This window comes from Homo sapiens, chromosome 2 (genome assembly GCF_000001405.40).
Source record: "Homo sapiens chromosome 2, GRCh38.p14 Primary Assembly".
NCBI classification, from domain to species: Eukaryota; Metazoa; Chordata; class Mammalia; order Primates; family Hominidae; genus Homo; species Homo sapiens.
In genome coordinates this window covers 48270316-48288418 of record NC_000002.12, presented here as the reverse complement: position 1 = coordinate 48288418, position 18103 = coordinate 48270316, and the positions used below count along the sequence as shown (strand labels likewise).

Genomic DNA, 18103 nt, shown 5'->3' with positions numbered 1-18103 from the left:
AGGCAGCCGAGCAGTACACAATTTCAGGGATCCCATTCACAAAGATCACAATGTGAATGGCACCTCATGGAATTATGCAAAAAGGCCTTCCTGTGATGAGGATCTACCTCATGAAGTTGTGATGATTAAATAAAAGTTGTAAGGATTAAATAAAATGTAATGCATTGAAGGGTTTTATCAGGAGTTTCCCCTTTTGCAGCTTCCTCATTTTCTCTTGTGGCCACCATGCAGGAAGTGGCTTTCACCTTCCACCATGATTGTAAGGCCTCCCCAGTCATGTGGAACTATAAGTCCAATTAAACCTCTTTTTTTTTCCGCCAGTCTTGGGTATGTCTATATCAGCAGCATGAAAACAAACTAATACAATGGCTCATGTCTTGCTTATGCAAACAAAATCCTAAATTTGAATGTGTCTCCTCCAAAATTCAGGTGTTGTTAAAGTGCTAGTCTTAAAAAGTAGGGTGTTTAAGACGTAATTAGGCCATGAGGGTTCTTCCCTCATTAATGGGATTAAGGCCCTTATAAAAGAGGCCTCACGCAATGGTCAGTTAGCTTGCCCTTCTGTCAGGAAGGATGCAGCAACAAGTCCCTTTTCAGACAAGATGTCAGCGTCCAGAGCTGAGAGAAATAAATTTCTGTTTTTTATAAATTACCCGGTCAGTATTACTCTGTTATAGCAGCACAAAATAGACAAAGACACATGTCATGGTAACTGTATCCTCTGTTAAGAGTTAAAGGAATGAAGGACTACTGTGCAAGTGTAATAGATTAAACATGTTTTTTTTCTAAGAGATGTATGTTTTGTCACCACTATTCCCAAATAATATTTTAATATCCTGAAACATTAATACCCTATCAAGAAGTAGTAGGGGCTCTGTATAGATTGGACTTGAATGGCTTTTAAAATTTGGTCAATTTACTCTCCAGCATGTGTTCTTGATTTCAGATATTACCGAAGTGCATAGGTGGTAGATTGCACAATTTTACTTGACAGAATAAGAGAGTGCTTTAAACAAGGAAACAAGTTGAAAAAGAACAAAATTGTATTTGGAACAGTAGGGGTAGTACAAGCCAGGTGAGCTTGGTGCCATTTAAAAAAAAAAAATCCTTTGAGACATGTGTGTAAATGTTCATAGCAAAGTTATTCATGAGAGTCAAAACCCAGAAACAATCCAAATGTCCATCTTGCAGAGAATAGATTTTTTTAAATGTGGTATATTAATTGTCTATTGCTGTGAACAAATCACCCCAAAATGTAATGCCTAAAAACAACAGGAAATCTACCTTACTTAGCTGGGTAACTCTGACTCAGTCTCTCCTGAGGTTGAAGTCAATGTGTTGGCCAGAGCTATAGTCTCATCTGAAGACTGTACTATGGAGAAGGGGTATCTGCTTCCATGCTAACTCACGTGGTGCTAGCAGGCCTCCAGCTTTCACTGGTGGTTGCCCAGAAAAATTAGTTGCTTGCTATGTGGACCTCTCTATAGGGCTGCTCACAACATGGCTACACAGTCCAAGGGGCTTGAGAAAGTGAGAGAGAATGAGAGCTCCCAAGATGCAAGTCATAGTCTTTGTATAACCAGGTCTCAGAAGTGACATTCCATCACTTCTGCCACATCCTGTTCATTACGAGTAAGGCACTAGGTCCAGCCCATACTCAATGGGAGGGAATTACACAAGGGCATGAATACTAGGAAGTAGGAATCATTGGGGACTATCTTAGAAGCTGCCCACAAGTGTGGCATATCCATATACTAGAATATTATTCGGCAATAAAAAAGGAACAACCTGCAGAGATATGCTACAAGTAGGTGAACCTCGAACACACTAGGCTAAGTAAAAGAAGCCAGACATAAAGACCATATATTGTATGATTCCATTTATATGACATTCTGAAAAAGGCAAAACTACAGAGATGGAAAGCAAATCAGTGGTGGCTTAGGGCTGGGGGTGGGAATGGGGGAAAATGGAACATTTGAGGGGGATAAACATGTTCAAGGCTGGGTTTTAGTGATGATTGCACACCTGTAAGTTTAATAAAAAGCATTTAATTATATGCTTACCAAAAAAGATGGCATGGGATACAAAACAATTAGCCTGTAATTAAAAAAAAAAAAAGTCAGTGTTGTGAAAAGGAGAATTATTCCATATTAAAAGAAACTAAAGAGGCATGACAACCAACTACTATGTATGAACCTGGATTGAATCCTGAAGGGGGTGAGGATAGAGAAGGGTAATGGGAGGATGCCGTAAGACATTATTAGGAAAACTAGAAATAATTACATATGGACAATAGATTAGATATTAACATTGTATCAATATTAAATTTTCCAAATAATTGTCTCTGTGGTTATATTTCTTTGTTTTTAGTAAATATATGCTATTTAGGGGTAAAGGGACATATTTTCTATAACTATCTCTCAACTAGTTCAGAAAAAAAAAAGTGCATACAGAGAATGGAGGAGTGATACAGCAAATGTAGTAGATTGTTAACAATTGATAAACCTGGGTGAAGGGTATATGGGAATTCTTTACACTGTTCTTGCAACTTTTTTATAAGTTTAAAATTATTTCAAAATAGAAAGTTAAAAAAAAATCTTTGAACAAAATTCTTTCTCTGTCCCTCAGCTTCTAGCTAGGATCAAATACAGCTATCAACATAAATAGTAAAACTAACTGGAGAAAGAAAGAAACAAATTATTTTTTACCTCCTACTACTTATAGGCTGCTTTTTTCCCCTCTGTTTCATTTAATTATCATAACACTCCTTAGAATATCGGTTCTCAACCTCAGCTGGACATTACAATCTCCTGGGGAGCTTTAAAGCTTCCCATTCCCTGGCAACAACCACGCTGATGAATTTAGAAGCTCTGGGATGCACCCAGTTGTTAGAAACAAAATGCCTGTTCCTCGATTGTTAGAAACAAAATGCTTGTTCCTTGGAGCCGCAAAGAAATAGCACTCAAACATAAATTTAATTTTCTCAGCAATGCAATTTTTACTTCTATAGAAGGGTGCGAGTCACGAATGGAGTAATGGCAAGAGCATACCTGAACAAGGGAGGGGAAGGGGTTCTTATTCCTGATGCAGGTAGCCCCCTACTGCTGTGTCCTTCCCCTCTTGGCGAGGGTTGGACCACACAGTCTAAGCTAATTCTGATTGGCTATTTTAAAGAGAGCAGGGGTATCAGCCAGAGTGGCAGGGTGGGTAGTTTTGCAGGAAGGACGGTTAGGAACAGGTAACTAAAGGTGACTTAGGTCAGAGCTGGTGACCAGGGGTGACTCAGGTCAAAGCAGGTGACTGGGATGAGTCAGGACAGAGCAGGTGACCAGGGGAACAGATGTGAAATACTGATTAAAACTGGTGGAAAAGCTTGTTTACTGAAACTACGAGGAAGTTAAACTTTAAAATGGAGGATAAAGAACTGAACATACTGACATACTGATTCTTTGAAGAGAAATCAGAATTCACTGTATCCAACATAGTCATCAGTATTTTTTAAAGTTCTTCAGATGATTCCATTACGCAGCCAAGGCTGAGACCACTGCCTTGGACCTAAAGCTTTATCATCTCTACTTTACAAATGTCAAAGTTGAAGTCCAGGGAGATTCAGTAACTTGCCCATGGTTACAAAGCTTCTGGAAGTGGCAACAAGGATAGAGGTGGACATGGGCACATAGAAAGAGGGAGGAGGGCCATGTGACACTATTGCAAGTTGTCCCCACAGCACCTTCTGGCTGCCTTCTGTTTTCACTCAGCTTTCCAGAGCCTGACCAGCAGGCGAGAAGCTGAGTTAGGCACTGTAAAATACAATGAAACCTGCTTATAAAATGAACATGAGCATGTAAAAGCTAGTGAATATGAAAAATTCTATGAAAGCACAAACCTGCTTTGTAAGGGTGAGATCGGGTAATGGGAGTAGATTTAATCAAGAAAGACTTCTTTGATAAGTGGTCAAGAAAGAGAAATTGATATCCCTAAACATGTCATTGTCTTCTATTTTCCTTTTTGGCTCTTCCTTAAATTTCCTTCGACTAGATAAAACAGATTTAAATTTTAAAAACCTCAATATAAGAAATTTTGAAAAGACTTCACTCCAAATTTAGAACAGTTAAATATATCTTCTTTAAGGTATGTTTCTTGATAACTTGTAAATCATTAGGAAGAATTATGTCTCATTTTAGTTAAGTCCCATCTATTAATTTTTCATATTGCTGAACAAATCATGTTCACATAATAATCCTTAATTGCTGCCGTCCCTAGGTTTCCCAAACATTTTAAAATAAGCCCTTCTGGAGTGCTATTTAAGCTGAGAAGGGGAAATTTGACCCACAGTTTATCACTTAGCTCATTAACATGCTAATATGACTACAATTTGCATTTGACTAGGGGGTTGTTCTTTCACCCCTGTAATCTTGTTGGCAGAATATCACAGTTTTTGGTTGATTTTTTTTTTTTTAAAAAAACAAATTGTCTATCTACACTAGGGAAATAAGGTGGAGGTAATACAAAAGGCTTGGAAGTGAATTAATTGCTCTGTAACAATTCCGCATTGGTTTAGACCCTTAGGTGGTGTTATTTGCACAGCTCTCGCAAATGCTAATGATCAGTTCACATTGGCATTTAAACAAAATCAACCCTAAGACATTTCTCACACTTCCTAATGAGTGATTTCTTTTTTCTTAGTCTCAAGTTCCCCAAGTCCTGCGGTGATCTAGGATAGCTCTACTTTGATAATTAAGTGTGTCTGGGGCCTTCCAATAGCTTTCTCGGTTAAGTAGTTCAGAAAGAACTAACTCTTTTTCTAGCTGCTTTACCATTCAAAGCATTTACCTTGCTGTGGATATACAGAGGAAGGAAATTAATACTGGATCTTATTGATACAATCTTACTGATAATAGAGGTTTTTATTATAAAAATGTAATTAAATATTTTACGTAATATGTTATTTTGAAATAGTCTAAAAATATTTATAGAAAGCCGTGATAAAAAACACATTCACAGAGAGGCAGATATCTCTGGTGTAATGACACCATTGGTTTCTATATGTGTGCCAGTATAAGCATAGATATATAATTATCCAACAGAAACATTTATATTTAGGAGATACCAAATACTAAATAGGTCTCTCAGCCCAACTGGTCAGATGAGTGTCCCTTTTAGTGCCCCACTAAATTTCTTGGCAACAGGTTCACATTGGTTTTCTCTGTCCTGGGACAAAGTGCCTAATAAACTTGCCTAAGGTAATGAAGGTACTTAAATACTCGTCAATTATGAGTACAAAATAATTAACTGGTAATTGGTACTGGTAGAATTTCTGTGATGCAAATAGGAGTAGAGATTATTTTGGGTGGGCTGTAATGGAGTCCTTTCCAGTCACTTAGATGACTTCCTACTCCATCTCTATTCAAGTAGGAAGATGACTTCCTATTCCATCTCTATTCAAGAAGAAATACCTGTTGATAATTCAGAGGGAGGGAGGAAAATGAAATGAATGACGTGAATCATTATCAAGCATCTACTATATGCAGGACACTATGATAAACACACTTAACCTATGTTATCTCATTTAATTCTCTCAGCAACCATAAGACAGATTTCCCTACCTGACAAATGATGGAGGTTCCGTAACTTGCTTGACATAACATGATAAGGTGATAGAGCAGAGATTCAAGTATAGTTCTATCCATTCCAAAGCCTGCTTTCTTTTCACTACACCATGTTGCTGTCAAAACAAAAGAAAGAAAAATCTGATAAGAAAATACGTCTGAATATTTGATATCCTATTGAGGGAAACGCAACAAGGTTTGGGATTAGACATGCCAGAAAGGGTATATTGCTCAGGATATTGCAGAAGACTAGAAGATAGCTAGAAATAGAAACAGGAGAATCCAGACTTCTCAGGGACCCAGAACTAAGAATAGAATATACTTGGGTAACTGAACAGACTGAAGGCTGTCAGTAATAGAGTTCTTCTAAGTTGAACAAAGGTGAACTCTGAGTCTGTATTTGTGCCTGTGGTTTTGAAAGAACAGTCTTATCACTTGTAGTAGCTTCAGGAAGATTAGCCTAAGTACATGTTGCTGCCTTGGGAATTCACCAAGAGGAGAGTGTGAGAGAAAGGCAGGAACACACCTGAGGGGTTTTCTCTAGGGTATATAACAGCAATGAAATTGTTGGGACAAAGGGTATGAAGATGAACATCTTAGGTGGTTCCAAGTATTACCAATATAGGAGAGGACAGCTGTTCCTAAGAAGTTGCTCCAAGAATATGGCCTGACCTCTCTATGGGAGGAAAATGAAACTGCCTTCACTCCATCAACAATTCACTAACCCCATCAAGAACATGGTGGGTTCATCATGAATGTGGCACTGGATTCTGGGAGAGGCCAGTAGATCCTCAGGATGGTTCCTGCCTTTGAAGAGCTGATTTTATGATGTAGAGCTGGAGCATAAGTCCTAAAACACTAAATACACCCCCTGGATGGTGAGTGCATGTGAGCGGCAGCCTCGGGAAGTCAGGGAAAGGAGAGATGTATGGAACCTGGTGACAAACAAGGCCTCCTGAGGGACTGGAGGTGGATCTTGAAGGACAGGAAGGTGAGAGGACATGAAACAGGACAAAGAAGAAAAGAAAAGAAATGCTGATAGGACCATCTGGCCTTGGATCTTCTGAGCTCTGATACATATACCTTATTCACATCATATACATATGACATATGTGTGAATGTGGGCATGTATATATTTATTTATACATAAAGAGTACATTATGTGAATATTACTTGTAGTAGTGTAAGTTAATGCAACCACTTCAAAGGGCCATTTGGTAATATCCGTGTAATTTGCACCCTTTTTCTCAACAATTTTATTCCTAGCTATATACCCTAGAGACAGTCTCCCTCATGTGCTCAGGGAGACAGGAATAGAACAGTCATTGCCATGTTTTTAACAGAAAGATATTGGCAACAACTTACATGCCAATCCATAGGAGAAAGAATAAATGAATCATGGTGTATTCATCCCTGGAATATCTGTGATGCAACAGTTAAAATCAATAAAGTAGAGCTATATACATTGATGTTAATAAATCTCAAAAATGATGAGAGATAAAAAGCAAATTACAGGAGAATATATTCAGAATAATATTTACATAAAGTTTTAAAAATATGCAAAACAGTCCTATATATCACAAGTATATAATAAAAATATGCTACATAACATATATGGTCAAAAATAGAAAAAAACATTTTACCATAGTGGTAGCTCCTGACAGTGAGGCAGTTGAATACAACTGGGAAGGGGATCTTCAAAAGTGTAATATTTTATTTTTAAACTGTGTAATGGACACATGAGTGTTTGTTTTATTGATCTTTAATATTTTGTATGCCTGGATATTTCAACTTAAAAACATCAGAAGAGGTAAAAAGATCAGAAAGATATACAGTGAAATGTTTAACAGTATTTGTTGGGATTATATGTGGATTAAAATATCATCCTTATATTCATTTTTATTTTCTAAAATAAATGTATCATTTTTATTTAATATTTTATAAGTAAAAGGCCGGGCGCGGTGGCTCATGCCTGTAATTCCAGCACTTTGGGAGGCTGAGGCAGGTGGATCACAAGGTCAGGAGTTCGAGACCAGCCTGGCCAATATGATAAAACCCCATCTCTACTAAAAATATAAAAATTAGCCAGGCATGGGGGCGGGCACCTGTAGTCCCAGCTACTTGGGAGGCTGAGGCAGGAGAATCGCTTGAACTCGGGAGGTGGAGGTTGCAGTGAGCTGTGATTGTGCCACTGCACTCCAGCCTAGGTGACAGAGTGAGACTCCATCTCAGAAAAAAAAAAGAAAAAAGAATTTTATAAGTAAAAAAGTAAAGAAAAAAACAATGCATTACAGAGGCATGGTATATTTCAAGGGCCTAGAACAGTAATTGACACATATTAAAATCTCAAAAAATATTTACTGAATAAATGGATGGATGAATAAATGAGACCATAGCCACACAGGCTGGCAGGAAGGAAGAGGAAGCTAGGAATGGTGGTGGCAGGCTAGCGCCTGACGCAGGTGGTCCTGTATGGTACAATGTACAGTAGCAATCTTCTTCTTTCTAAGGAGAACTAACTCAGGTATAAACATATTCATTCTGGTAGATGGGGTTGGGCAGAGGCAGAAATGCTGATTTGGTCACTTTTTCCATTCTCACCCATCCTATTTCTACCTTCTTCCTCTTTCCTACCTTACCTGTATTGCTGAGATTCCATCATTCCTAGCACCTGAGCCTGCTTGTCTATATGTAAATATCTATACGTAAAATGCGTCTGCGTAAAATGTCCATATGTAAGTAGTGTCTGTGGTTTAAACAGCTAACCTAAGTAACTTGGTTTGTGTCTAGACATGAAATGGATAAAAGCTAATTAATTTTGAGTATCAAACTCTAAAACATCATCTCAAACTAGTCAACATTCAGAAAGCTAGGTCTGAGTCACCACAGACAGATTACATAGATTCAGCAATACATTCATTTGCTTCAAGTGAGTCCCTGTTAGTATTTTTACCGAAGTTCTTATGCCTCCAAGCTGAATCATATATCACTTGGTAAGATTCTGCTTTATTAAATTGACTAACAAGGTAATTCTTTGGGCTGAGGCGATTTTAGGAAGATACAACAAGAGTCTGCACAGAAAATAGCAGTAATTTTCTAAATACAGCCAAGTCAATTGTATCTGTTGTGCACTAAGGGAAAGACTCCTGGGTTTTAGTAGATAGCCCACTATGTAATCATCCTGGCTGAATAGACTCAGATACTTTGTTTTGAAGGGAGTGCAGAAATCCTGCAGGTTTAATTGCCAATAAATCAGCATGACCTCTACTCCCTGGCAGGCCTTTTCTACAATGATCTTTTCAACCAGAAAATGAAGAGATGGATTTTACAGTGTGTGCTTACTGCCTATGGTAAGATAAGAGAATTACACTTGCTGTTTCCTCCATTACAGGCTACGCTAGATAATGAAGGACTCTATTAATGACATGTTCTGTTTACTTTTAGGTTATTTTCATCTTGTATTACAGTTATTTATTTTCATTATTATGGAGGACCATCTTTAAAAAAAAAGCTATCATTTGTGAGTTCAGTATTTTACCATCATCAGATTTCATTCCCTAGATAATTCACAAGAATTTGCCTTAAAATATTCTGGCTCACTCACAAAGCTGTTCACAAACTGGTTGAACTGGATGTTGCATTTAGCTGATTTTCAGATTTATTTTGAAAAGTATATATTTTAAATTAATATTTCCAATACATGGCTATAATAAATACAGAAATTTTAACACTCATCCATACCCAAATGTACCATAAACTTGATGTTTATACTGTGGAATTGTGTGTTTATTTTAATTTGAGTAACATTCTGTGGAATATATTTATACATTTAGATTTTCAATTGTATGAACACTATAAAAAAACACCAAAATTTAAAACCATTAAACAATATTAGGTTCTACTTCTTATTTAATTTCTGAGTGCTTCTGTTACCTATTCTGAATTTAGGATGGTGCTTTTCCTGCCTAACCACAGGGAGCTGAACCGGATGATCTCTTGAGGCTTTTTCCAGCTCCAAGATCTGTGATGCAACCTGCTGTGTCGGGAGGTCATGTTGTTTTGGGCGGTGTGTGGGAGAATTCTGTTGTTCTTTAAATATATATCCAAAAAATGTATTAGGATTGAGAAGATTCTGGGACTACAACAGCAATGACAGTTTTTTAATCTCTCAAAATCCTAACATAACAACAAACAGATCCACTAGATAGCAAAACCAAAAACATTTACAATAAAATCAGGTGATAAAGCATCCCTGGAAAACCCCAAATACCAGCAGTCCCCCGCTTACCCACAGTTTTGCTTTCTGTGATTTCCCATGGCACAGTACAATAAGATATTTTAAGAGAGAGAGAGACCACATTCACATAACTTTTATTATAGTATATTTTTATAATGGCTCTATTTTATTGTTGTTAATCTCTTACTGTGCCTAATTTACAAATTAAACTTTATCATAGGTATGTATGTATGGGAACATAAAAACATAGTATATATAAGGTTTGGAACTATTTGCAGCTTCAGCCACCCACTGCGGGTTTTGGAACATACCCTCTGTGGATAAAAAGGGACTACTATACAAGCAGATTAGAACAAATCATTAATATCTGCAAGATCTGCCATTTGTGTGGGAGAAAGCAGAGGAAAGCAATAGAGCCCCTGACAAACCCAAGAACAGAATAGGAAAAATAGCCAACAGATATTTTGTGAGTGCAAAGTGCAACAGACCTATTTGAGAATAGTAGCTGAAATTTGGAGGCATTTTCTCCCACTCCAAAAGCAGATGAATACAAGAGGCCCATATTAAGGGTGGAATGAGCTAGAACAGTTGGGCCACAATGAACTTATAAAACTGACCAAACAGGGCTTCCTTCCAAAATGGAGCATGACCCAGACTTCTGAAACTGGAATCAAAGTGGATCAGGATAAAGACAACAGAGACAAAGGTAAGAAGACCCACAGCTAGAAAATCTCAGGAGGCAAATAGTTACTTTTAAAAATTACTTTATGAAGACAAAACAAGGAACTTTCCGAAGTTAGTAAAACTGCCATCAACCATGTCTCCTAAAAGTTCAGAAAAACCTTTTTCACATAAAATGAGCAACAAATCAGTTACTATGCAAAAATAAAAAGCAGAATGACATGAGTTCAGTCAACAAAAGCACACTGGAGACATGTGTCCACAGAACACATCAAGAGTGTAACTTTCAGTTTCAAAATAAGCTAAAAAGCATTAAGAAAGTAATGTAAGACATGGGAAAATCTATTAATCAGATTTTTAAAACTCAGAAATGAGATGATAGAACCCAGAGAATTAGAAACAAAAATCACTTAAGAAATAAAGTCTTAACTAGAAAAAATACAAGAGAATAAACTACAGATAATGCCATAAGAGAAAAGAGAGTGAAAGGAATAAGGATTTTAAAAATAAAAAAAGTTAAAAGAGAAACAATTCAATAGAATGTGAAAAAAATTGAAGACAAAGAAGATCCAACATATAGATAATAGGAAGTCTCCCATATGAGAAATCAAACTGAGAGAACTGAACAGATACTCAAAACCGTAATTCAAGAACTTTCCTGATATAACAAGAAAAAATATTTTAAGTTACATGTTGAAAGAGCACACCATAGTCTGAGAATAGTCATTCAGAATAACCAACACCAAGACATAATTTAGTAAAATTCATGGACTTAAAAAAAATGGGAAAAAAATCTTTAGACATTTAGGCAAAAACAAAAACAGAAAAACCCTCAAACCCATGTGATTTTATGAGGCAAACACAGATTAGCAAATTTGTAAATAATACTTCATGCCAGATAAAAAGGGAGTACCATATTTGAGACACTCAAAGAAAACGTGAGCCAAGGATTTTATATCCATCAAAGCTGACCTTCAAATATAAAAGACAAACATTTATCAACATGCAAAAACTCAGGGAATATTGCTTTCACTTTCTTTCCCTGAGGAATCTGCTAGAAAATGAACTTTAGACACCAAAATGATTAGAGACATTGACATAAGGAATGCTCATGAGCATTAGCAAATAGTTACTTGTAGGACTAAGACTAAACAAGTGGTAATAGGGAAAGCATAGTACGTAATGGCTATCTGACAACGTCAATACAGTACATCTATTAAAACTGAGGGGAGAAGGGGGAAAGAATATATGGAAACGATTTTAGCTGTTCTCAGTAAATGTATATTTTTCTGAGCCTGTGATATGTGTAATACAGGATAAAGTAAACAGCAATTATCAGATATTCTCTGCCCTTGAGAACTAGGTTTTTTTTGTTTTTTTTTTGTTTGTTTTTTTTAGAGGGGGTCTTGCTCTGTCACCCAGGGTAGAGTGCAGTGGTGTGATCTTGGCTCACTGCAACCTCCGCCTCCCGGGTTCAAGCGATTCTCCTGCCTCAGCCTCCTGAGTAGCTGGGATTACAGGTGCCTGCCATCACACCTGGCTAATTTTTTGTACTTTTAGTAGAGACAGGATTTCACCATGTTGGCCAGGCTGGCCTCAAACTCCTGACCTCAAGTGATCCACCCACCCTGGCGTCCCAAAGTGCTGGGATTACAGGCATGAGCCACCATGCCTGGTGAGAACCAGGCTTTCTTGTGTGAATACAGGAGGATTAAAAAACAAACAAACAAAAAAACTGTGGTCCTGAATCTGAATTGGAAATGTTACTATTAACTCAGAGGTATTTTTTATTTAAAATGTGTGCTTTTCTGTATGTGTTGTTTTAAAAACAGTTTTGTTTAAGGATATTTTCTTTTTCAACCTTGATATCTCTGTCCACAGAAGAGGCCTAAAAACAGTGTTCAATCCTGTAGTGATCAGCACCCATGAAAGCCAGATTGTGATTTTTGAATAGCATTCTCATTTAAAGAAACCAGGGCTTCTTGGAGAAATGGCTAATTTCAAATCTTGGGAAATGTATTAGTTTGCTAGGGCTGTTGTAACAAAGTACCACAAACTGAGTGTCTTAAACAACAGAAATTTATTGTCTCACAGCTCCAGGCTCTCTTCTCCCTGTTTCTTCACATTGTCTTTCCTCTATATGTATTTCTGTGACCCAATTTCCCCTATTCATAAGGATACCAGTCATACTAGATTAGAGCCCACTCTAATGACCTCACTTCAATTTGATTACATCTGTAAAGATTCTCTCTCTCAGTGAAGTCATATTTTGAGGTACTTGGGGTTCGAATTTTAATATATGAATTTTGGAGAATATAATTACACTCATAACTGGCAGTCAATATACAAGATGAGCCTCAACTATCTTGTCATACTAGATAGTGGGGAACCTATCAAGACTTACCAGGGTCTGGCTGGATGCAGTGACTTATGCCTGTAATCTCAGCTCTTTGGGAGGCCGAGACAGGTGGATCACTTGAGGTCAGGAGTTCAAGGCCAGCCTGGCCAACACAGTGAAACCACATCTCTACTAAAACAAAAATTAGCTGGGCATGGTGGCAGGTGCCTGTAATCCCAGCTACTCGGGAGGCTGAGGCATGAGAATTGCTTGAACTCGGGAGGCAGAGGTTGCAGTGTGCCAAGATTGTGCCACTGCACTCCAGCCTGGGAGATAGAGCAAGACTGTCTCAAAAAAAAAAAAAAAAAAAAAAAAACAGAACAAGGACTTACCAGGGTCATGTCCAAAGACCCAGGAGCCAGCCTAAAGAGATTTCCATTGGCTAAACACAGGATGATAACAATTTGAGCTTCAAAGTTGATAATAATTTATTAAAACTCATCAATTATAATTAAATACATGTGTTCAAGTTTATATATTTATACACATATATGTATGTATAAATATAGTTGTTTGTTTTAAGTTGGTCTTCTTCAGAAGATGATAGACAGCTAAATCATTGTCTTGAAAATTAATAATGGAAAAGAATTAAGCATTTGTCCTACCTTATATGAACAGTGCCATTATATTACTAAATAGTTAATGAGGGAAACCATCTTTATATAAAACTATTTCAACAAGTAAATTAAAAAGAAATGATATAAAGTGTCACCACTTTTTAACCCCCAATGATTTAATGGACATAGGCACTGAGCACCAACAGCTGCTGATGGTACAAAAAGAGACAGGCAGACATGTCTCCATATGAAACAAAACACCATCGCCTAGTCTTCCCAAAGGAATCAAAGTTGAGTATGATCATATCCCCAGATCTAGCTGCCAATCTGTGGGACATAAAGAGGACAGAGAAACTGGTTGAACTGCTTCATGAGTGCATAATCAGCAACATTCAGAGTGTAGGGGAGTAGATGGTCTGGGTTCCTCAACAGATAGAGTATAAAGAAGAGAACTGGAAAAGGAACCTATAACTTGGAATAGAATTAAAAGAAAAAAAAATGTTAACAGACAAGACAAAACAATAGTCTAGGGATGCACATAGGATGTTTTATTACATTTGGGTGATAATTCTGTAAAGAAATTGAATTGCTTTAGTACCCAGATACTGGTTACTTTTGGGGAAAGAGGAGGTTATAATTTGAATGAGCATTTGGAGAAGCTTCTGCGCTGGGGTTGGGTTGGCAGAGTTCTGTTTTTTGGCTTGGTTGGTGGTTACAAAGGTGTTTGCCATAATGACTCATAAAGCTATACTGTACATTTTTTGTGTATATTTTTCTGTACCTGTCTTTTGTTTCTCAATCAAAAGATTTGTCTTCTTTTTGTTTTTATTTTCCTTAAGAATAATGCAAAACACAGAGAGCTTTAGAAGAGACTTTTGCTGTACATTGCTTTCATTTTAGGACACTTGTCAATGTCTTCCAAAAGTCCTAGTGTGACCCCATTTCTCCATTAAATTCAACAAGGACTGTTCCTGGAATAACAGACAAACACACATTTTATCTGCAACCTGACTTAAGGACAGTGTAGGAAGAAAACAAGAAAGAGGCCAGTAAAGTAGGAAATAAAAAGTCTTGCCATTCAAGATATTCTTGCAAAAAATATTAAGTGGAACTCCTGGGAATGTGTATGTATAGGTATGGCAGTGTTAGTTTAGTGGTATCACAAAATCTTTCTGAGAAGCTAGAGGATCCCTCACTGTCTGTGCAGGTCTACATCCTCAACTCTATTCAGATTAGGCAAACAAAACAGCTTTGATTCATTCCATCTATTGATCTTTTGACTTTAAGATGTTAAGGGGCTACCCGGAGATCAATTTGTTACCCTTATCAGTCTTTAAGTCTTCAGCAAAGCTCTCTCTGAAAGCTAACTTTCCTGAAGTATCATTAAGGCAAAGAAACAGCATCCACTTTATATCACAATAACTCATTACCTGTGATGAGTGAGACGAGGGCCATGGGATCTGTATCAATCAGACAATTTGAAAGTATTTATTGAGCATAGATTTTTCTACAGAGTCTCAATTCCAAATATGATGTGCTATTGTATGACTGGAGTTGGAGCTCTAAATATATGGTCACCATAGCTATATTATAAAATCATTCTTTGTCTTTCCTTCTTCCTCTAATGAAGGCAGTGCCACTCTTACAGGTAGATCTGACAGATTAATTTAACACATTTGAAAAATTTTTAAATGATTAGAACCAGACCCAGACTATCTGAGGATATGCCCCAGAATCCCCACGGTGCCACTTGGAGGAGTAGGGTTACTAAGCATGCAGTGTTATTTAAATCCTATCAATTTTTAAGGCCTAATTCAGCATTATCTCTCTGTTTCCAAGTACCTTAAGAGCATTACAAATGGAACTGCTCATAACCCAGCTTTCATTATTGTCATTATTACTATTGAACATTGTTTTCCAATCACTTTATGGTGGTTAACTTTGTGTCTCTATCTGGTTGCAAAGTTTCCTGTAGGCAGCAATTAGGCCTTCTATTCCTGTATTCTCCATTACATATAGAAAGCACTCAATACTCATTGATCTCATTGATTGATCCTTCATTTCCTCCATTTATTCAACTAACAATTTTTTTTTTTTTTGAGACGGAGTCTTGCTCTGTTACCCAGGCTGGAATGCAGTGGTGCGATCTTGGCTCACTGAAACCTCCACCTCCTGGGTTCAAGTGATTCTCCTGCCTCAGCCTCCTGAGTAGCTGGGATTACAGGCGCGTGCCACCACACCCAGCTAATTTTTCTATTTTTAGTAGAGATGGGGTTTCACCATGTTGGCCAGGCTTGTCTCAAACTCCTGACCTCAAGTGATCTGCCTGCCTCAGCCTCCCAAAGTGCTGGGATTACAGGCGTGAGCCACTGTGCCTGGCCTTCAACTGACAAATATTTATTAAGGACCATCAATTTATAGATGTAGGGTCATAGCTGTGAGCACATCTGTGCTCTCATGAAACTTCCATTTTAGTGGTTGGAATAAGTAAAAACACCAGGGTACTTTCATTTTCTTTTCCAAATTATGAATCCTAAAATGACCAACTTCACAGCAGTTGCAGAAGTTAAGGTGCACTTTGTACAAAGAAAGTTTCCAGCATATTCTGCTGCTTAGTGCTATGCTAACAAAACAAAACAGGCTCACCAGGTGTGAATTCATTCTGATCACTGTCCCCTTCAGAGAGGTGCTTACTTCAAAAAGCCAAGTATTACCTTTCAAAGTCCTGAGGTGGGAGGAGTTCACACACGGTTTCCCTTTGGTTCCCTTACTTCTTCCCATTACTTTCCCTCAGACATATACTACTTTATATAATATAGTTATATATGTATATATGTGTATACATATATGTGTGTATATGTGTATACATATATATGTATACATATATGTATGCATATGTGTATACATAGGTGTGCATATATGTGTATACATGGGTGTGCATATATGTATACATAGGTGTGCATATATGTGCATACATATGTGTGCATATATGTGTGTGCATATGTGTGTGCATATATGTGTGCGTATATGTGTGTGCATATATGTGTGCATATATGTATATGATGTACATATGTATGTGTGTATTTTTATTATTTATTTATTTTAGAGTTGGGGCCTTGCTCTGTTGTCCAGGCTGGAGTGTAGTAGCACCATCATAGCTCACTGCAGCCTTGGACTCCTGAGCTCAAGCAATCCTCCCACCCTTAGCCTCCTGAGTAGCTGGGACTACAGGCGTGCACCACCACGCCCAGCTATGTGTGTATATTAAAGTCTGTTTCTTTTCACTGCATTCATAGTGGTTCTAGGAAGACTTTTATTTTAAACAGTAGTCACCCCAGTGCCGTTTGTCCTCTGGAGGGATTTCTCAAAGGCAAGACAGCATCAAAGCTGTAAACCTTTGCTTTTGATTCTCTTTTTTGATGCTGGAAGTTTCTCACCACGTGCTTTTTATTTGTCTAAGCAATAGTGGTATGTGGGAAGCCTGGGACTCTGGCTGCTTCTCAACTGTTGTTATTTAGGTCATCAGTAGTGTTGAGTGGCAAATTTTACAGCACTGTAATAACAGTAAGACTGATTCTCAAAATATGTGTTTTCCTTGTTATATTTGTTTTGACAAAATAATCTTTGACAGAAAGGAGAACTAAAAAAGTGAATATATTTGTTCCAGGCTAACTGTCCAAACTTCATGATGCACACAATATAAGAGTCATAAAACTCCACCTTTAAAAAAGTAATTATAGTGCACATTGGTATAGTGCTGCATATAATGTTATAAATCAATTAATAGATAGCTACAAAGACACAGGTATCTTCTGAATGAAGATGAAAGTGGGAAAGTCACAAGGATGGCCCTCAATAAATATAAAATCACCCCTGCATCCCACTGCAGGGGTATCAGGCCAAGATAGTAGGTACAATAATACTTGTTGAATGAATGAATTTAATTCACTTCTTTTATCCGCAACTCCCAAATCCCTAATATTTCAATAGTGGATTATCTTTGAAGATAAGGACACATGTTATGAATAGGAATAATAATAGGATTATAACAAATCATATATTATTTTAAACTAGTATCAGTATGGTCAGAATTTAGGGTCTTAAGCCAGGGTTCATGTAAATAATTGTTCACTCACTCTTTGTGCATCATCTGAGTAATCCAATTACAGACAGATGGGAAAATAAAAGTTTCCAAAACAGGAATCAAGAGCATTTTTCTTGTTAGAAATGCACGTTCTCAATATTTCGCAGGTTTGCTCTAGGTGATCCATTCTTGATACCCAAAGAATTGCTGTCAGAGGTCTTACTACTCAGAAGTGGGGCTAAGTGTCTTTGAAGAACTATGAATTTATGGATTGTCATGTGGGGTGATTATTTTTATTTGTCCAAATAGAAAGGGCACATGGAAAGCAGATGGCTGTCATTCAGCACAGAATGGCTCCAGGTGACAGTACTGTTCCCAAGTTGAGCTCTGCGGAAGCTCAAACCAAGTCGACTGTGGACAATCGATGGGTAACTGCAGTCTTTCCTGCATAGACTCTGAGCTGAACTTTGTGCTGCATTATCTCCTTGTAAAGAGAGATTTGTTTACTGAGCAAGAGATTTCTGAAATGATTGAAAG

The 18103-nt window shown here is 37.4% G+C and overlaps 1 long non-coding RNA gene across 1 annotated transcript in view, besides 1 other annotated feature; it reads right to left on the bottom strand.

Annotated features, from left to right (window-relative positions):
* Window positions 4243-4927: an enhancer, noted in NCBI's record as "NANOG hESC enhancer chr2:48510631-48511315 (GRCh37/hg19 assembly coordinates)". NCBI's record gives its function as "activates a minimal SCP1, AML or CMV promoter by ChIP-STARR-seq in primed H9 embryonic stem cells {active_cell/tissue: H9 hESC(primed)}" and the evidence as "EXISTENCE:reporter gene assay evidence [ECO:0000049][PMID:30033119]".
* Window positions 5584-18103, bottom strand: part of LOC102724008 (uncharacterized) — a 29333-nt gene continuing 16813 nt past the window's right edge. Inside the window, exon 3 of the long non-coding RNA XR_001739457.2 lies at window positions 5584-5725. This is a non-coding gene — a long non-coding RNA (uncharacterized LOC102724008). The remainder of the gene's footprint in view (window positions 5726-18103) is intronic.